General features: G+C 37.3%; 1 protein-coding gene and 1 long non-coding RNA gene across 6 annotated transcripts in view; one reads left to right on the forward strand and one right to left on the reverse strand.

The window, feature by feature from the left end:
* The window catches only part of KCNMB2-AS1 (KCNMB2 antisense RNA 1), a 334939-nt gene that overhangs the window by 22696 nt on the left and 289853 nt on the right, over positions 1–22390 (reverse strand). The gene's annotated exons all lie outside the window — the stretch shown is intronic.
* The window catches only part of KCNMB2 (potassium calcium-activated channel subfamily M regulatory beta subunit 2), a 307994-nt gene that overhangs the window by 11727 nt on the left and 273877 nt on the right, over positions 1–22390 (forward strand). For 2 of the 4 annotated variants that reach the window (NM_005832.5, NM_001278911.2), the window contains exon 1: positions 10688–10822. The exons of the other annotated variants lie outside the window; for them this stretch is intronic. The gene's annotated coding sequence lies outside the window, so the exon portion shown is untranslated. Of the gene's footprint in view, positions 1–10687; positions 10823–22390 lie in introns of those variants that run through there. 4 annotated transcript variants of the gene reach the window in all.

The following is a 22390-nucleotide window of genomic DNA, read 5'->3' on the forward strand; positions in this document are numbered from 1 at the left end:
CACCTGCACAAGAATTATCTGGGGAGCTTTGTAAAAACATCACTTCATGTGGCCCATATTTAATCAGAATCTTTTTGGGTAAGGCCTGGAAATTTACCAAATACTATAGATAGATCTTGCAATCTCTTTCTGCCCTGGGTTTCTTCTGCCTAGATCATGCAAATGAATAGTTTCCAAGCATGACCTTGATCATGGAACTTCCCTCATCACAGCCATTGGCTCTCACTTAACCAAGCAAATCAAGTCTTCTAGGACTGGATGTCAAGACCCTCCAATTTTTGATGGCCAGGTGAATTTCTAGCCTAATCCTTACCTCCCTTCTCTCATCCTGTTACAACTAAACTATACTACTTGCCATATCTCAAGCATGCCTATCATGTCTTTATATCTCTGTCCCTGAGCCCCATGCATTTCAAACCTCCAGAAAAGGTCTCTTTCCCCTCTCATTTCCACCTCCCAAAATCTACCAATTCTCAATGGTTCCTCTTAAATAGAGCCTCCCCTTAATCCTTTCACATTTTTCCTCTTCCTTTTCTATTCCTTTCACTCCAAGCTAGAAGGAGCCTCTCCAATCTTTGAACTCCTTCAGCAGATTCTACCTTTTGGTACTTGCTTGTAACATAATTATATGTATAAATAAGTTTTCCTTTTTTACTTCTACTTACAAAATTGAAGACAGGAACTATATTTTATGAAAAGATGAATTGATGAATAGAAAGAAAGTTGACCAGAGTTCAAAATCCATCTAGTGCATGTCCTTGGGCAAATAATTGAGTTCCCTTATTAAGTGAGATTATGTCACTTACTTTATAGAATTTTGGTCAGTATAAGTAGAGGTATCTTATAAAAAGATAAGCAATATGAAATGGCTAATATTTTATTTTCACTAACAAAATGGAAATTTCATTATACCTGGTGGTTCTCTATATTTTAGTACGCTTTTCTTTAAAATAATGTTGTATACTATGCTTTACATCCACTTTACAAATATTGCCCACTGAATATATAAATGAATATAGTAATGCTAACCCTATTAGCATGAAGAGAGAGAAGAATTAGAGAGACTCTGAAATAGAGAGAAGAGAGAAAAGAAGGGAAACAATCTGCCTCGGGGCTTACCTTGCCTCTTCCTTTTTCTTTTATTTTCTTTTTTTTTTTTTTTTCTTGAGATGCAGTCTCACTCTGTCATCCAGGCTGGAGTGCAATGGCACAATCTTGGCTCACTGCAGTCTCTGCCTCCTGGGTTCAAGCGATTCTCCTGCCTCAGCCTCCCAAGTAGCTGGGATTACAGGCACACACCACAATGCCCAGCTTTTTTTTTTTTTTTTTTTTTTTTGTATTTTTAGTAGAGATGAGGTTTCACTATGTTAGCCAGGCTGGTCTTGAATGCCTGACCTCAGGTGATCCGCCTGCCTCAGCCTCCCAGAGTGCTGGGATTATAGGCGTGAACCACCATGTCAGGCTGCCTGTTCCTTTTTCAAAGCAGGTGAGCACACAGCAGTTTTAACAATAAGCTAAAGCAAGCTCTTTTCTAATGAGAGAGTTCTGTTAAATAAAGGTCAACAAGAAAAGTAACAACACTCATTGTCTCTTGTTTACGGTCCATCTGAGCATCATGCAAACTTGCTCAAATTTCTCTCCTGTGCATTGTTACTTTACCTAGAGTTTATCTAAATCACATTACACTCTACCCTGGCTGGAATTCTTTGTCGTTAATCAGAATAACAATAGTTTCCAAATGTAACTTATAAAAAAGTATGCATATTTTTTTTTCTCTTCAGCTATCTTTCTATCCCCTTGCATTATTTATGAAAAGAAAAATACCTCTTGACCAGTTAACTTAAAGGAAACTCTTACCTTGATAAGGTCAGTGTTATGTTGGCTATATAAGTAAATTAACTAAGGAATTGATGTCATTCTCAGATTCTTACTTTAATCTTCAGACTTTGCAACCCCAAGGAGAGATTCTTTGTCTAATATTTCCTTTGTTAAAAAATGATTTGCCCGGCCAGGCACAGTGGCTCACGCCTGTAATCCCAGCACTTTGGGAGGCCGAGGCGGGCGGATCATGAGGTCAGGAGATCGAGACTGTCCTGGCTAACATGGTGAAACCCCATTTCTACTAAAAATACAAAAAAAAAAAAAATTAGACGGGCATGGTGGCGGGCACCTGTAGTCCCAGCTACTCGGGAGGCTGAGGCAGGAGAATGGCATGAACCCGGGAGGCAGAACTTGCAGTGAGCCAAGATAGCGCCACTGCACTCCAGCCTGGGCGACAGAGCGAGACTCCGTCTCAAAAAAAAAAAAAAAAAAAAAAAAAGATTTGCCCCACGAAGGCATTATAATAAAAGAGGTCCTTGAGGATTATACATTATTCAAGAGGTAGGTCAAGTTCCCAGGAGTTAGGAGTGAGATAGTGAGAGAAATGCCATACAAAGTTACACAGTGCTTTGGATATTTTAATAGACAGAAAAAATATTACGAACAGAAGCTAAGAAAAGAACAAAGCTCTAAGAAGGAACATCAGTATTAGCAGGGTTCCAATCTCTTTTTTGCCACTAGTGTGGCAATTATGTGATATTGAGAAGTTAGCATCTCGGTGCCTCAGTTTCCTCCTCTGTAAAATGGGATCTGAATACCGGCCACACAAGGGCTTTTGTATAAGTTAAATGAAATCATGTATGCCACGTGGCTAGCACAGTGCAGCACATAGTAGCATTTCAATAAATGACTCCTGTTTTTATTATTAAGATGAGAGTGGGTAATCATGTCAAATATTACAGAGAATTCAAAGGAAGAGCTTTGGATTTTGGATTTTGGATTTTGGCTCTGAATTCAATGAAAAAGCGGGAGACCATTTTCCACAAAGAGGATAAGCACCAAAATCAGGTTGCAATGACATTAAAGGACTGAGCAAGTGGTGAGGATGCAGATTTTTCTTTCCAAGAAAAAATTTTCCCCAAAAGGAAAGTAAGAGTGAGGGCAGTTGACAAAGGGCCGGTGAGGATGAAGGAACAGTACAGATGCTTTTTCTTCCCAGAGGCTGGCTGTGAGGGCTTTTTAGTAGTTGATGAACTAGTATCTTATCCTATTTTGTAGATTACACATTGAATTCACTCTAAACTTATCTCCTATTATTCTCACAACTCTGTGTGGTGAGCATCACCATCCCCATTTAGGACAGAAAAACTGAAGTTAAAAAGCATTGAAAGTCCTATCCCAAGTCCCATGACAAGTAATGGCAGAGCCAGGCTTTCCACCAGCTCTTCTAATGTAAACTGCAGGCCACACTGCCTGACCTAACTATGAACCCATCACTTCGGCCTTTCGAACCTTCTTCACTAAGACATGTGCATTTTCAGAGAGGATTTGGAGGGAAAATCCTTGGAGAAATAGTTGTTTATTCTAAGGGGGCCACTGCTAACAAGTCCTTAAAAATATCCACAATGTTGCACAACATTTATTGAGCATTTTGTAGATGGCAGACAGTTTACACAATAATATCAGTTATAGCTTGTGAGCCCTTATTAAGTGCAAGGATTGTACTAGGCATTTTACCTGCATTCTGTCATTTAAAGTTCAGAAGAGTCCTAAAATCCCTATCGTGCACTTGAGAAATCTCTCGCTCAGAAAGCATGATCAGCTTGCCCAAGGTACACAACTTGTAGATGGCAAAGCCAATATTCAAGCTGAAGCCTGCCAGACTGACAGACCTTCAGATATCCCATTTGACACCTGCTGGCCATTTGACACACTTTCTCCCTAGGTACCAGTGTGCACAAGCCCCAGGTGTGCAGGTCTGGACTGTGAGGTCCTAAGAGGACCCAGAGCTCCGGAACCCAGAGCTGCCACACCCAGAGCTCCGGAACCCAGAAGAAAGCATATGACTCACACACAAACGTCTGGGGCAGCTAACCCAGGCAATCTGCTTTCCTGTGGATCAAAATCTATCTTAGAATTCCCTTTGTATATGCACAAGGTAATGCATGGCTGGTCCCCATCCAGACGCTGACCAAGGTTTACAGATACGATTCTAAATGTCGACTGTGGAAGAATGATGTAACAGCACTCCCACCACAAACTCCCACACTGAGGAGTTGCGAAAGAGAAAGAAGAGTCCAGCAAAGAAGGAAAATGTTTCATAACAGATTTCCTATTCTTTTCTTAACATATCAAATTGTTTCTCTATTTTTCTGCAGTTTTATTTTTTGAATTAAACCCCCCCCCAAAATATTCTATTCTTTTGCCACCATCCTAAGACAATTCAGTTTGACAACCCATTTCAGACAAAATACTATTATGCCTCTATTTTATTTACCTAATAATTTCCATAACTGTATATCAATGGTACTATAAGCTTTATTTCCTTTCTGTCTCATTTCCCCAAAATCAGCCTTGAGCTCATTAATATGATGCATGGGGCTGCTTTTCTATAAAATCACCTTTTCCCAAACTAGGTAGAATTTAGACCATAGTTCTTTCCATCTCTATTAGTTTGTTAAATATATATTTGTAACTGTTTTAACTCAAGCAAATATAATAAGTATCCTTGCTTTTGCTTTTCTCTAAATTATAGGAATTCAAACAATCTATTATTCTAAAATTATTATAATTAGTATTCAAAAGCAATGTCCTAATAAGTCACATATTTTAAGCCTCAGTAGTCCACTAGATTTGTGAATAAATACCATAGTCACTTCTGACAGCCCCCATAATGATGCTTAGATTTCTCTCTTCTTTGCTAACTAGTGCAGAGTTTGATGTTACTCGTGTTTCGAAGGCCTAATAACACCTAAGCGTTTCTTACTGGTAGTTCTACAATAAAGATAAGCAGAAAACAACTGCCCTATGTTGTTATCTTAGCTGGATTTTTGTCACTGCTTGTCAACATGCTTCCTCTGCAGTGATATTGCATTCATTCATAATCACAAAAGAAAATCAATTTTAATAAAACATTAAAATGAAATTTCACCCGAACCTTCACCTGAAACTTGAACTTCTAAATTGCAGTTCATCTAAAGTCAGTTAAGATTTATGACAGATACATAAAATGTGAGGAAGGAAACAGATTTCCCTTATTATCCTACCTAAGTACAATCTGGCACCATGCTAGAAAAGAACCTGAAATCCTGGTTTGTGGCTAGTCTTAATCTGGATATGTTTATAAGATTTGATTCCAACTTTTGAAAAATGAACTGAAAATTGGCCAACACAGACTTTTAACAATGCCCACTGAAAACAAAATTAAAAGGCATGGACAAACCACTCAAATGCAAGAAATGATGGGAATTGTGACCCAGACACAGAAAGAGAGTTTTTGGCTGAGGAATGTCACTCAGCACTGAGCATTCTCTGATCAGCTTCAGAGAGATTCCTTTTTTTTTTTTTTTTGACAGTCTCCCTCTGTGGCCCAGGCTGGAGTGCAGTGGCACCACCTCAGCTCACGGCAACCTTCATTTCGTCTCCTGGTTTCAAGTGATTCTCTTGCCTCATCACTCCCAGGGAGCAGAGATTATGGGCGCGCATGCTATCACACCCAGATAATTTTTGTATTTTTAGTAGAGATGGGGTTTCACCATGTTGGCCAGGCTGTTCTCAAACTCCCAACCTCAAGGGATCTGCCTGTCTTGGTCTCCCAAAGTGCTGGGATTACAGGTTTGAGCCACCGCACCCAGCCAGAGATTCTATAGTACTGGAGGATTGTTCATATCGGTTTTCCTAAAAATAAAAGAAGGAATGAAGGTAAGCAGAGAAAAGAAAAATGCAAATAATTAGACAAAACCATTGAAAAGAAATATACCACAGCCAGATTGTTTTAACAAAAACTATTAAAATTATTAATAGCTAACATTTATTGATTACCTATTATGTGTCAGGTGTTATGCTTACATGATTATCTCATCTCATGCTGATGATAAAGCTATGAGGTAGGTTTTTTTTTTAATATCTGTTTCTCAGATGAGGAAAATGAGGCACAGAAAAGACCTTCAACTTCTTCAAAGTTACAGTTAACAAGTGTTAAGGCCTAATTCAAATTCAGTTGATCCAATCCTGATTCCAGAGTTATATACTTTATCCCCATCGCAATAAAATTTCAAACCACTATGCAGGTAAAATAATAACCTTCAGAGGATATGGTTGTAGATAAATTTGAATCAACTTTTAATAAGAATTCAAGCCTGAAATATTTATTGGAGTCAAATCTCGAAACTACAATTGGTACCAAAGAACCATGCCTATTGTCATCTGGTGTTACAGAATTGAACTTCAAATCACAGTGATATTTAGAGAGTTCATAAACATGTATTGTTTAAAGAAAAAAATATTTGTTTCTCTTACCAGTGTCACCTAGAACCTTATTAGAAATGTCAATTCCTTTCTTTCTTTCTGATGTAGAACAAGTGACCCAACTTGCAAATTAATTTAATTCAATTCTTTTTAACAATCAATTCTCAGGCCCCTTTCAGAAAAAAAAGCACTTATGCTTTTCCTTCCTCTCAAAAATAAAGAACTCAAGTTTGCATTATTTCTATGAAATAAGTATAATTTACACTCAGAAGTCAGTAGGCTAGTAAGAAACTAGGGTTGATAAACAGACTGGAAGACATGTTCCCTTACTCTCAAGTTGCTTGCAAATTAGTACTGATTACTATTCAAAAGAAAGCAATGTCTTGGTTTTCAAAAGCATATGGGTCTTTTGTAAGGACATGGGTCTCTGCTCTCTGCAAGTGACTTTATTATGGATAGAGGTTGTCTAGAGAGGACTTCACAAGGCTGTCAAACTAATCCTTCCTTAGCAGGTAGCTGATAAGAACATATGACCAAGACCAATGTTCTTGTCATTTAAATTAGAATTACTTAAAGTTGATGCCTTCAGGATGAAAAGAGAGGTGATAGAAATGGTGGTCTGACAGATCAGAGGAGCTGGTATGTTAGAAGAGTGTCCTCTCACACATGGTAAGCCCCCATGCTACCTGCTGCTCAGGTGGACTCTGCAACTGGGAAGTTCCAAGAACAATGAGAGTCAAAAGAAAGACTGAACAGAACATCTTACTCTTTCTCAATAAAATAACTCTTCATTGTCCACAAACCTTCCCCAAGCAAAAAATTTTCTTCCCTGTGCCGCCAGCTCCTGTTGTATGACACAACACCCAATTTAGTCTAATGGAATCACATGAAGTTAAGAGCGTGGGCTTTCACACCTGGGATTTGGACCTTGTCCTCTCATTACTAGCTGTGTCATCTTGGGCAAGTTACTTAATGTTTTGAGCATCAGTTTCTACATCTATAAAATGGGTGCTCATAATATTTATCTTGCAGGTCTTTTGGGAAGTTTGAATGAAATGACATATATAACACATGTGCTCATATGATGGGTGAGCAATCAAAACTAGCCGTTGTTATAAAAGCATGGGCTATGTTTACAAAGCCCTATTGTCATTATTCACTTTATGGTGAATAGCCATTTCCACTGTATTGCAGTTTGTGGGGAGGAGGCCCAGGGTGAGAAAGAATGGGGAGGTATTTTTGTTTACTCAGATAGATTGTAAGTCCCTCATCCTTGATACTAACTACATCCAAGAAAGCATATCATCTCTGACATTGAGGGTCTAACCTAAGTGGTGGAGACTATACATATGGTGCTATATTAGAAAGTAGAATGTGCTCACTGTTATACTAGACTCACAAAGCACTTTGGGATCACCAAAGAGGGGAAAGCTAATTTTGATCAGGAGTTGGGGATGCCATCATGGAAGGCTGCATATTTGATCTGTGTCTTAAACAAAGGCTCGAATAAGAATTAGAAATAAGAAGGAAATAGACACCTCAAAATTTCAAAAGCAAAACAGACACAACTTGGGATGCATAGGATATGGAGAGTAAATAGGAAAAAGAAGAGTGAAAGATAACCAGAATTTAGAAGCCCAGAAAACTGGAAGGACAGTGCTGACTGAAGTTCAGCAGGACGTCACAGAGAAGGGGTGAAATCAGTAGAAGATGATAAACTCAGGTTGAGTTTGAGGTGGAGGAAGAACATCCAGATGAGGATATATCCTGGTGAAGTATAATTTACAACTCAGGGAAGAGATGCAGATTCCAGAGTCATTTTCATGGATGTGGTCATTTAAACTTAAGCAATCATTTTAGGGTAGAGAATAAATCAATAATTTAATGGCAACTAGTGTAGAACAGTAAGAAGCAGCTATGCTTTGGAGACTCATAGAACACATAGTTGGGTTTTTTTGTTGTTGTTTTTCTGAGATGGAGTTTTGCTCTTATTGACCAGGCTAGAGTGCAATGGCACAATCTTGGCTTGCTGCAACCTCCGCCTTCCGGTTTCAAGCAATTCTCCTGCCTCAGCCTCCCAAGTAGCTGGGATTACAGGCGCCTGCCACCACGCCCAGCTAATTTTTTTGTATTTTTAGTAGAGATGGGGTTTCACCATGTTGGTCAGAGTGGTCTTGAACTGCTGACCTCGTGATCCACCCACCTCGGCCTCCCAAAGTGCTGGGATTACAGGTGTAAGCCACCTCGCCCTGCCGACACATACTTTTAAAGGAAACTTTGTGCAACTGGGAAGGAAACCAGGAGAATGCAGAATCACAGAGGCCAAAGGAAGAGCGAATTTTACAGTGGCAAGGGTGATTGGGAATGTCAGGCCCTAAAGAGAGCCTGAGTAGCATGAAGCATAAGGGACTGTGTATGCCATGAGGTGACTGCATAGAAAGCTGTTTCAGGGCTAACAAGGAGCAGAACCATTGAGAAGATAAAGTGGGAGAGAGGAGGATGCATAGAATCGTAGCTTGAGGGACAAGGGAAGGTGTTTTATTAGGATAATAATAGCCTAAACACATTTGCAGGTTTGAGGGAAGGAGCCAGTAAAATGGATTAAAGCTGAAGAATAAACAAGGATTAATTAATCAATCAAGACCTCCACAGCACTGGTTATCAACCCTTTCTTAACATAAAACTCACTTAGGACCCTTATTATAATACTAACACCTGGTCCTGATTCTGATCAGGATTATTTACTAGTTTTCCCAGGTGATTCAAATCTGTATCTAGGTATGAGAGTCACTTACTTAGAAGAACTGGACATTGGATTAAGACCACTATAGATGGTTATTTTGGGATGACAAAGGCTCTCTTTTTCCTCTGAGATGAGGGTAGTATAGTACCGGGGTGGCGGAGTAAGAAAAGGATGAATTAAGAGCGGAAACATTTAGAAAGACTTTGAAAGGACTCCTGATGAATGGCTTCGAACTGAGAAAGTAGAAGGTGAGATGCTTACATTGAGGGTGCAAAAGTAAGACTGGGCCATTAAAGAAATTTAAAGCATTCCGAATAACTATTAAGATTTCCACAGAGATAAACAAGGTAACTGTCCAATTACTGCTTTATTCTCTCTACCCTTATTCGTTGGCCATGCCTTTACAAAGAAAGGGCATTACTGTGTTTCTTGTTACTCTTATGAAAAAGAGAAAAAGAAATATTATAATTGGGGAACAGATAGAAGAATAGTAACGTTAATAGAGCTTTAGTGAAGGCTTTAAGTAAAGGTATCAAGAATAAGGAAATCTAAGCAGTGCATTGAGATCTCTGTGAAATCAGTGAGAATTCATCCTTGATGGTATCTTGGAGATTATCTCACCCACCATTTAAATTATGAGTAAACTAGGGTTCAGAGACATTCTGTGATTTGACCACCATCAAACAGCAAGTTAGCAACACCAAGAGACATTGAAACGAAACCTTGGAGCCCCACACCAGTGCCTTCAGCTCCTGCACACACTTGGCCTCCTGACCTCTGCTGTGAGGTTCCTGGTTAGCAAAATGGCTGTCGTTCTTTTGGGAGGATTAATAAGAAAATCTGTAAATTGGTTTTAGCTCTTTGCAAGAGAGAAAAAAAAACTATGTGCAATTTCTTCTTTATTGCTGTTATTATGTGAACCAGATTGAATTGCTGCATCTCTGAAGAGTTTCTTATGACTAGTGTGAAGTTTCCCATTTTAACCCAAGTCAATTTTAAATTGCCCATACAATACACAGATAACTGACTGTAATAATTCAGTTGCCACACTCAATACATTGTTTGAAATCCAATGAAAGGCAAAAGGAAAACTTGCAATCCTACAGAATCAGCAGGATAGATCCTGCAAGCTGTCACAGGACTTATTTTAAGTAATTAAAAAGGAGCTGTGTGTGTAGTAACAAGATCAGTGGGTCTCCTCTGCATGGCTACAATACAAGGATAGGAGCTGCAATTCTCTGGGCCTGGGGTTTTTTAAATCTGTAAAACAAGATGAATAAGCTAGAACACTTCTTTCAGAATTAAGCCTCTCTCATTTCTGTCTGTATTTTAATTTTTGTCATCCCTCCACCAACATTTCTAAAATAGTTCAAAACAAACTATAAAGAATATTTCACGGATCATAGTTCCAGGTTTTTTTAAAATCATAAATAAATTTATGGCTCAATTTCAGGTTCCTTATCAGTAAAATAGAGGAGCGTTGGTGTAAATATTCTAAACTCAGCTCTGTGCTTCAGTGGGCTTTTCACTACCTTTAGTTAGTTGCACTAGGCTGGTTGCTGTTTACCTTGCATGGTTGACTGCTCTCTTCTCACATTGTGTGCCAGGAAGGGCACTGCACCTTGGTATAAATGCTGCTGGGCACCGTTCTGTTTTCTTTCTTTTCTTAATCCTATCCAAGTATGCAGTACGCTCTTGGGTCGTCTCATGAGACCCAGGGGCATGTTGGAAAGAACTGAGAGAAAGAGCAACAAAGCGGCGAGTGGTGTGAGAGGGCAGCACGCGCTGTGGGTAAGCTGGACTCACCCAAAGAACTGTATTTATTTTGCATTCATCCCCATGAATTAATAAAAAGAATTGGTGATACACAAAGAGAGGAGAGGCTACAATTTAAAAGAGCTGTACTGGTTTGGATGTTTTGTAAAATGATTACATGATGGAAAAGTGTAGAAAATGCAATATTTGCTGGCTTTGGAACTATCTGTATGACTATAAAGTCAGGAGTGGAGGGACATGAGGACTTGTGAGAATGGTTTTTTTCACAGGGAAGTGATTTTTCTTTTCTTAGTTGGATTTAGGGTTATTCTTGATTCTAGTGCATATTTTCTCATATTTTAAAACATTGCGTGATGTTAATTCACAAGTCTCAGATTTCAACTTTAATATAATACATTGGAATCATGATTTTTTCTCAGCCTTTCAAATTCTCAAGTATTTTACTATGAGAATTTTCTTGTATTTGAACAATTTTTTAAAAGAAGCTCTGTCTAGACACGCAAACTGAGTTGGAAAATGGATATAAGCATCTAGATGACTCTATAAAAAAAGTATCTTCATTGTTTTAGGCAACAAGTGTCTAGTCTTCACTGGTATTAATTATCCAAATATGTATTTTATATCACTAATTAACTTTTCACACCTAGAAATTGTCTTACAAAAACATTTAACAACACTATTATTTTCCAGGACCCTTTTTTCCTCTGCATACTAGATCACAGTATTTTTAGTGATGAGGAAATATATACAAATTCAAACTGACAGCAATTCATGAATCTCTAATATTCCTGGTATATGTTGTCCACTTTGCGAAAATGATTATTAATAGCCTGACTGCAAAATTGTTTAAGAAACCTTTCATTTTAAATTAGCCATAATTTATTTTTTCAGACTATACAGATGTATTAAGGTCATTTTCCTTGCCCATATTTAGTTTTCCCTGTTTAATAAAAATTATATATATATAAAATATATAATACAAATATGTATAAAATATATATTAAAACAATATATGTATATTTATATACTCTTTTATGAATACACAGCATATTTATTATATATTATACATATCTTTTTTATTAAACAGGGAAAATGAATATATAAATTACTAATATATATAAATTACTTTTTATATATATATAAATTAAGAACCACAAGAAAGAAAATAATTGGCAAGTAATTAGTCAGTTCATTTGATTATTTTAGATCACCAAACAAAATACTTCAAGTTTTCCAAGATAGTTTGTACCATTTGGCTCAAATGTTTCCTCTGAGGGGCTAATTTATTAGCAACAACAGAGTGAGTTAGAGATAAGAAAGGATGAGAACCCAAGTAATTGACATCCAATCAGGAGGCCTTTGTCTAAGAATCTGAGGTGACTAATAAAAACTGACAATCAAAGGGAGGGAGACTTCTATCTGGAGGGTATTTCTCATGAAAACAAATAATGCAAAATTAAATTAAAGATATCACCCCACTGAAGCGATTGCTATTCCCAACTTTATCCTTAGAATTCTTTTTCCAAGCTTGAGATTACTGCATGGGCAAATGCACTCCACTGAGCCGCACAAGCACAAGCACACCTAGATCAATCAACCAGTAGTCAGCCAATCAATGAAATCTATCCAAAGCCAAAGTTTTCTTTTCCTAAATGTAGCGAGATAATTGGCTTTGCTCTACACTGTTCTTTGATAGAGAGTTCACTGACTTAAGGTGATAAAGATTTTAAACATTAGCTAACATTTTTGAGCACTACGTGTTGGGGATGTGCCAAATGATTTCTGTCTTGTCTTTTATCAGAATTTTTGAAATAACTATATGAAGTTAGTGCATTTTTGTCCCCAGATGTGGACACTAAGGCTTGACTACAGTTGCTTGCCCAAGATAACACAGCTGCTAAACAACAGAACCAGGATGCAAACCCAGCGTGACCTGAGCCACCACCCTATACCATCTCCTTAGGCGCAGCACTGTTTTGCTTCAGATGCTTCTGGACACTCAGAAGCACACAGCAGAGTATCAGTTATCTGAGGCTAAAAGGCATGCCATATGTTGCCTCTGCATCCAAAAAAGTGCCAACAATAATGCCACACTCAGAGTGGTGCTTGAAAAATATCTATTGAATCGTATTCACAAATGAAAACTCTTTTCTCTAATGATGTATCATCTCACTCCACTAAGAAATCAAGTATGGCTCCATAAAATTTTAGTCATAAGGATAATGTTATTTGAACAGGAACAAGATGGCATTATGAATAATAGATTTCAATCTATTAAGCACAGAGCTACAGCAACAGTTTAACAGGATAATGCAAGGATTATTATAAAATTTTTAGAGATTACTGTAAGTAGCACATGATCCCCTTTGCTATCAATAAAAACAAAACAATGCTGAGAAATAGGCCATTTTGTTTATTTGCTTTTACATGAAAGCTGTGTGGAGTTGCGCAACTAGACTAGGGTTAGGACAGCTGAGTTCTATTCTTGGTTCTGAAACTAAATGGCTCTACGACTCTCAGTAAAAGACTGACCTTTTCACGCCTAAATCTCCTCATGGTTAAATGTAGGGGAGGATCAGATGAGATGAGTGATAAGGTCCTTCCAACTCTAAAATCCCATCATTCTGTAATAGTGCTGCATTAGATTCCAATGTTAGCGTAGTTGGAAATGCTCACTTCACAATTTTTTACCTTTTGCAAAATTCCCTGTATCAGGAGATTCAAAACATACTTTATGCCAAAACTCAGAAGGGAAAGAAATACAGCAGCCTTTTAGCTATAATCTGATATGCAGCAACTATAGTGTATGTGCAAGGTGAAGGAAGAGTGACAAAATAAGACTAAGAAAAGGAAAAACAAAACTGTCACCATTACAGGACACCAAACCAGCCAAGACATGATGAAAGACATGGCAAGATTCATACAGGGAATTAGAGCAATCTGAGCCATTTTCTAGAACTTTCTCAATTTTAATTGGGCTTATTTAAAATTCAGTTATCCACTTTGGTGTACATGAAATAAAATCTAAAATATCACCAAGACTTACTGTACTTACAATTAGTGACAGCTCGTGAACAAATACAGTTTCTAGTAATATTGTATATAAAGCAATGCTATATATACAGATCTGGAACCCCCAGTGCTGGGTTCTTTGCCTACCTTTCTATAATTAGCTGTGTTATCTTCATTAATGAATGTGACCTTCCTGTCAGATATGTTGCTTAGCTCTAACACAATTGATTTTATTGTGATACAAAAACAATATGTTTTGGTTATGCAATCACTCACTGACTTCTATGAAATAGGTCTTAGTAAGTGGAGGGTCTGTTGTTAGCCAAGGGAATGACAAGTGTGACCACTAGGTTTGGCACAGCTGGGCCAAGACTGCGTAATTAAGGGAAAGAGATTGAGAAGCCCCAGAGACAGGATTCTGGGAAGGGAAGCAGGAACCATTACAGCTAAGTGGTAGCGGTGAAAAAGCAGATAAGAAAGTAGAGAAGAAGACCCAAGAGCTATAAGGCTAAGAAAAGAAACTTGGAGGGAAATGCTGTGTTCTACAAACCCTCTCTTTTTCCTCCAATTCTAAACTGTCAATAAACTATACACTCTTCAGTAATGCCTTGGTGCAAGTGGATTCTTTATTTTGAAGGTAAAGTGATTAAATCCAGTTTCAGAGGCTGACTCATGGGTTAAAAATGCATTGTAAGGAAATGTGCTGAAATACACAAATCTGAATTTGCAGTATTGCTATCATCATAGCATGAAGGCCCTCCTCGATCAGAATGTGACTGGCTAGATTGCATCTAGGTTCAGTTCTGAATATGACACTTTAGCAGGGGTCTTAAACATAGACACCTTTGGGGACCAAGTTGAGTGAAAGCGGGACAAAGACAGTAAGCACTGATGAAACCTTGAAGCTGGAGAGGGTGTGCCCAGCAGAAAGATAGTCAAATTCCTTTTGTTTTTACTTTTGGATGTAAAAACAAAACAAATAAAATAGATATTGTGTCAAGCAAAACACATCTGTGAGCCAGAATCTCTGAGTCATTACAAAATAAAAGGACATTCAAAGGAGAGTGGTCAGGATACGAAATAACTCACAACTGTGCAGCATGTGGAACAACTGAGTGAACTGGGATCCTTTAATTTGAAAAAGTGTAGACCCTTGTGAGCCTGGTGGTTGCCTTCCAAGTATTTGAAGGTTGCTATACAGATGAGGTATTACAGATATTTTAGCTTCTCTTTAGGGGCTAAACCAGAAAAAAACTGGGCAGCCGTTAAGGATTAAATGAGTAAATATTTGTAAAGCACCTAAAGTAGTATCTGCACAGAGTAAGCATTATCTATTAAATAAAATGAAGTTGTCTTCACAGTCAGAGTTGTCCAAAGCTTAAACGAGTTGTTTCTGTGGTGGGTAGCTGGAGCGCAAACATTCATGAGATGGTTATGAGACAGTATTCTGATAAATGAAAAGCCCACCCAGACTTGGAGACTACCAGGGTCCAGGCCTAGATGGTTCTCGAAGGTAGCTTATAAACCTGGACTCAATTTCATGTGCAACAGATACTTGAAGTCAAAGACGTGTCTCCTTTACTGAATGGTCTTGCATCACATTTCACTTCTCAGACAGGACTCATCCCTGCTTTGAGATGAGAATCAATTGAAGTCATAAATTAAGTACCCAGGAAAAATGAAGTATGGGGAAGGCATATGCAATCCTAGAAAGTAAGGGTGGTGTCCAGGAAGTGTGGGTACTTTGGAAAGGAAATACCAGAGCGTCCCCCAGAGTCCTTCAACAAAGGAGCAGAGAGCATAGGCGTAGTGATGAGGAGCTTCAGAATTTAGGATCTGCAATCTCTCAGAGCCACCTTTATGACGTTTTGTGAGACTGAGTCAAAGTGGACACTTTAATGTTGAATCATTCAAAATAGAAATCCATGTCTTAAAATCCCCAAAACATGGAAATGAAGAGTCACAACAAGAAGACTGAGAAGACATCTGCAAAGTATTTTTAAAACATTGAGATTCTGGCCAGGTGTGGTGGCTCATGCTTGTAATCCCAGCACTTTGGGAGGCAAGGCAGGTGGATCACGAGGTCAGGAGTTCGAGACCAGCTTGACCAACATGGTGAAAGCCCATCTCTACTAAAAATAAAAAAATTAGCCAGGTGTGGTGGCATGCACCTATCATCCCAGCTACTCAAGAGGCTGAGGCAGGAGAATCGCTTCAACCCGGGAGGCGGAGGTTGCAGTGAGTCGAGGTCGTGCCAGTGCACTCCAGCCTGGGCGACAGAGCGAGACTCCATCTCAAAAAAAAAAAAAATTGAGATTCTGATTATGGTGGGTACCATATGTCACAGAAGGACAATGATTAATATATAACAATAGTGACTAGAACAAACTCTGACTGAGACAAGAAATTCAGTGCTTATGTAGGTCTGAATATCATAGGTCTGAGAACAGGGCACTTAATCCAACTGGAAAAATTGAGAGGAAAAATCAGACCTATCTAACAATTGCATGTTGTTGCTTTGTATAAAGTAGAGTAGTTGGAAAGTAAACAGATGGGAATAAAGATTTATCAAACACCCCACTTCTAGCAGGCACAGTGCTAGGTGATTTACATGCATTGCCTTATCGAATCCCCATATTAATCTTGAGAAAAAAAGGTAATTTATTCCCATTTCTGCACAAGAAAACTAGAGCTCAGTTTAAAAAACTTGCCCATCTCTCATTAACTTGATGGATTACAAATCAATACAAATGTTTTGGAGGGTAATTCATCCAAATCTATCAAAAACTTTAAGAAGCAAAATTATTACCTCAGCAACAAAATTTTTAGCCATTTATTCCTCAGAAATACTTTTTCATGTGTGCAAAGATATTATGTGCAATTTTCCTCATTGCAGCATTATTTGTAATATTAAAATTTTGGAGGCAACCTAACAGTTATTTGGTGAAACAAACTTATGATACATCTATATTCTAGAATACTTTGAAGGTAATAAAAATATTAAAGTATATGAAATTAAATTCATTCGGAAGAATATTTTAGTAATATTTCTTAGTATAAAAATCAAAAATACAAAAATATCATAAGTAGAAAAATTAACTTTTTATTAATAAAGTATATATACATCTGTATGGATATAGTGAACGATCTGGAACACTACATGCCACGTGATTAACAGTAGTTACATCTAGAGAATGAGACGAAGGGCTAGAGCAGAAGAGACCACATCCTACCTTCTGCTGTTCTGTATTATTTAAACTATCTCAAACAGAAAAGTACCATTCCATTAAAAAAGATGGAAAGGAATAATGAACCCAAAGTCATACAAGCAGCCACCAGCAGTCGAGACTCATCATAGTTCCTGCTTCAGTATTGACTTCTAAGTTTACATTTTGGGATTCCTCTTCTTCTGAAATGACGTTACACTGTCTAGAGTGGAAAATGATACACAGCAGAATTATGTGAGAGAATAGGAAAAATTGTCCAAGGAAAATCAATTAAAGCATGGATGAAGGCCATGGCAGCAGCCACAAACTCATTCTTTTGCCAAGAATTAATATGTATCTCTAGATATGAAGATGGATACAAAGAAAGTGTTGTGTCACATGAGTTTGTTTTTCTAAGAGTGTCGTTCTTTAGAGCAGGTCTAACTATTCGATTGAATTACCCCCAGAAGACATGGCTAGGTACACATAGCTATCATTGACTTTCAGATTCTCTACCAATGCATTTATATCTCCAAATTTAAATCTTCAGCATCCCCTCTGGCTTTTCTCATATAGTATCCTGCTGAAAATCAAGATTCTGATCAATCACATCCTCACAATATAAATCTCATACAAGGAAGAAGAGCTGGATTTTTAGAAACACTACAATATTTAATAACACTGATTATAATTATTAATGAAATCTAGAACCTGGAAACAAGGTAACAGAGAGTAAAACACGAATATAAAAAATTCAGAAATATGTCCAAAGTTCCAAGAATATTGAAGGTAGACAAACTAAATGATAGTAACTTATCTCTTTGAATCAGGGCAGATTCTTACTGGCAAGGGGAATATCATGAGAATAAACTGAAGCACCCAAAGATGGTTGAACCAGATGTCCTTTAAGGTCTTTTCTTCTCTTACATGCATTTCTCCTAAAACGTCTAAGTAATAACACTTAGATGTTTCAGATGAAAATGCTCAAGGCTGATCTGCTAAGGTCTATGGTAGTCTATAACTTTCTCAGGTATAATATTAGTCCAACTTTTTCCGGCCTATTAATAAATAAGGTAAAACCATGTTTAGAATGTGCAGTTTACTAAAGGTATTAATTTTCTATTAGATACTTTTAGAGGTAGGTCTAAATATAAATTGAATCACATCTGTAAAGTTCATTGGTCTCAGCACTTGAGTGGCAGTATCTGGCCGTGTCACTCAAACACACACGCACACTTGCACATGTGCACACACACATACACACACACTCCTACTTGGCAATGTTAGCTCAGAGAAAACTCATATGGACTATAACACACAAGCCATTCAAAAACTTTCTCCAAAACCAAGTCAAAAGAAATGTTAGTCTACCTAGCCATTACATCCTGTCTCCTTCAAGAAAACCAGTTTCTCTGTTTTTTGTTTTGAACCCAATGTCAGAGAGGAATAACATATTAATTTAATTTTTTAAATCAAGCAAACATAAAAAAAAACTATCCCTTACTTTAAATTTAGATAAATGTGTACAAATCCAGGAAACTCCATATGAATGTTGCTCAAGTGGGGACATTTCAGCAAAAATTGATTTTACTAAGGATACATTTACAGTGCACACTTTGCAAAAGTTACCAAGTAGCGCTGTGCTTAACAATGTACGTTCATATTGTATGAATTAACCACCTAATGGCTACCCAGGAAATATTACAGCAAAACACATTGATGTTGGCATAATTGAGAAGCATTCATTTAAAGATAAATGTCCTATCTTTTGTAGCTGTAGGTACTGAGGATGCATTATGATGAATAATTACACAGATTAATAAGATGTCTTCAAACCTTCTGGTACTTAATGGAAGTAGTTCGATTATTTTCAAATGAGCGTATCGTGACTCTATTGAAGGTATACTTTGCATATCACCATTCTAGGTTTTCTCATTCTGATCTTTATACTTGCCAATATCTGACCAGAAGCAGAAAGATCAATGGAAGTAATCTGAGTTTCTGAATGTACATGTAGATGAGAGTACACATGTGTGAGAGCGTGTGAGAGTGTGTGTGTGTGTCTAAATAGCTCACTTAAGCATGGTATCATTTATCAGCCAATATCATCTGTTTGAAAATTACCTGAGACATAGAAAACAGTTGGGGAGGAAGTCCTGAGCAACAAATAGAAATGTCTAAATGTGGAGATTAAGTAGACACATATGTAATACAACTAGTGGCTTAGAGAAGGTATTCAATAAATGATCACTATATTATTATCATCATTATTGCCTCTGTATGGCTACACAGAGAACCTGAAATCACTAACAAACTTATTTAGCCTTAAAGCAGATAAGAAGCAATCAGCTGAAATGGAGGACACATTTTGCTATAGTCAGGCCTGCTTACAATAGCAAAGAGTTACAGCTAGCATTCTAACAATAAAGAAAAAATATAAAGAAAATTATAAAAGACAAACATAACTTAAAGAGCAGCATGCGCCAGGACATTTGCGCCAGGACAAATAGTTTAGACTATTTGTAGCCAGAGAGAGCATCACTTAATCTTTGCGAAACACACACTTTATGTTCTTAATGATGACACTGTTAAAAATAGCAGCTGTGGAGTCAGACATATCTGAGTTCAAATCCCAGCTCTACCACCCTGTGGTTTTGTGATCTTGGTTAAGTTGCTTAACCATGATTCTCAGTTTACTGCTCCCTTAAATAAAGATTCCATCTCTTCCTCACAGTACACTAGGTCTAAATGAAATGTTGAATGTATGTGGCTAACACAGGGTCCACCACATGGAATCCACTTAGGTAACTACATTATTATTAACATATTTTGCTTAAGAAAACATAGAAATGTGTGATTAAAGGTCCCTTTCAAATATTTTAATGTTATAAAACAATGCTGTCATGTAAAGAGGTAATTTTTAGTTATCTAGAAAATTAACATATGGAAAGCCTAATTTCCATATGACACTGCAGTTAGACTTGGTTTATAATTTAATATATACTCAGACACAGATAAGAAGATATGTAATCACAGACAGAAAGAAAAAGTAGTTTCCCTTTCTCCTTTTTATCTGAGTCAAAGCAAGTTCATAAACGTCTCAGACTTTAAAGCCTGTTGACTAATTGTTGAAGCTGGGCCAGCCACTACACCACTGTGAGTGTAACTACACCAGCTTGGATGTATGTTCCTGCTATGTTTCTTTCATGATACTTTCCTGTTTCCCTTTTTGAAACCACAGACAAAATCTGGATCCCTCCAGATTACACATTCATAAATGCCAGTGATATCTTGAACACTCATAATGTCAGAGGAAGGAATTCCGCTTGGAAAGAGCACAAAACCTTCTGATGACATTCATGCTATAATCATGGGGATAGTCAATCAGCTTAATAGTCACAGTACTTCAAAGCTCTTAAGAGGAATGGTAAAAGGAAAGGGAGAGAAATACATCATAACCAGCACTTTTCCAGTGCTTAGAAGACACTCAAGGAATACTTATTGAACTAATAAATGCATTTATCCTACCTGGAATGTGTAGAGAAATCTTTAAGATGATAGATAGATAGATGATAGATAGATAGATGATAGATAGATAGATAGATAGATAGATAGATAGATAGATAGATAATAGATAGATAGATGATAGATAGATAGATAGATAGATGATAGATAGATAGATAGATAGATAGATAGATAGATAGATAGATAGATGGATAGATAGACTGAACTAGGACCTTGGTTTAAAAGAGTTCAGTCTCTGTATTATTCAGAACTGTTTTGGATATAAATGACAGAAACACATTTCAAATACATCCAACCAAATATGAATCATATTGGCTTATATAAGTAAAAATATCAGGAGTTGACTGGCTTAGCATAGCTGCTCAAAAATGTTCTCTCTTTATTTCTTGGCTCTTTTTCTTTTGGGTTGGCTACATTTTCCAGAAGTTTTTCCCCATGTATTAGGAATAAATAGCCACCAGAAGCTTCAGAACTACATAGACTTTGCCCTCAGTAGGACAGAGAGGCAATCTCTTCAAACATCCAAATAATTACCTTAAAAGAGGACTTCAAGTGAAGAGACCCTGCTTAAATCTGATTGGCCCCACACGATCATGGTGGCTAATCACAATGGTTAGAAACATAGCACATTCTAATTTACCACCTCGGTTCATGTAACCACATCTGCGGTGTAGAGGGGCGCACTACCCTTTGATTCATAGCCTCATCCAAATCACAGTAAGAGAAAGAGGCAATTTCCAAATGAAAAGGATGTAGAAGAAACAAAATAATAGATGCCACCTACAGCTTCTTCCATAAATTACTTTTACATCCTTGGTTGCTTCCCTCCTTGAGCCTCCATAGTACTGTAGTCAGTTGTTTACAACCGCCGGACTGCCTCAGGATTTAAACATTCTGAGTAGAAAAACATGTTTTCCTCACAGCCTGGTGTATTGAACATCATCTGCCTCTTTAATTTAAAGGGATAACTTCTGCAAAACCACTTTGTAAACTGTAAAGAATTATATAAATGTAAATATTTAGGATAATGAATTTAATTGCCTTCAACCTTCTGAAAGAGTTAAAAGTCAGCCCTTCTGTCTCAAAATTCAGTGATTTTCAAGGGGTAATGTAGAACTGCTTCCAGCAATAGCTTCTGCATCTATGCCTCCTTCAACTTATATCTGTTTATTGCATGCCTTTTTTTCCCTGATTTATAAAGGAAAGGGGCTGAAGATGAAATTTTAAAACTGTGTTATTATCTTGAAACGCAACTCCTATAGTATTCATTGCAATATTATTTCTCTACTCCTGGCACGGAGCAAGATTATTTGGAATGTAGCCATGTCTGTTTTTCTTTTCTTTTGTTAGTAATGACATCTAATCTGGTAGCATTGGCTCTTTCTCCTATGCATGTTATTTCTTTTAATCTTCAGAATGAAGTAGTTTGTTTTCAATATTCCCCAATATCTTTGTAGTGCCTTACAAGTCATCACTATCTTGAAACCAGTCTCTCACCCATTGAAAGTGGTTTCCTAGTTTTCATGTATTTTTAATTATGCTGGGAGACAAATCATAACCCTCTCAAGGAGGACTATGTTTTATACATTTTTTTAAATCATTCACAACACCCTGCAATCAAAAAAGTCCCCCACAATTTTTTTAATTTAGTCTGAGAAATTAGGAGGTCATTAGACAAAACGTGAAAATATTTCAAGAAGACTAGAAACTTACCTCATTAAAATGAACCCAACTGCAATAGAAGGTCATTATAATTAAAATATTTCCAGTCCCTTCTGAACATTGACCAAAGGTAATGATACCTTTTTTTTTTTTTTTTTTTTTTTTTGCTCTTGGTAAA

This window comes from Homo sapiens, chromosome 3, assembly GCF_000001405.40.
Source record: "Homo sapiens chromosome 3, GRCh38.p14 Primary Assembly".
NCBI classification, from domain to species: domain Eukaryota; kingdom Metazoa; phylum Chordata; class Mammalia; order Primates; family Hominidae; genus Homo; species Homo sapiens.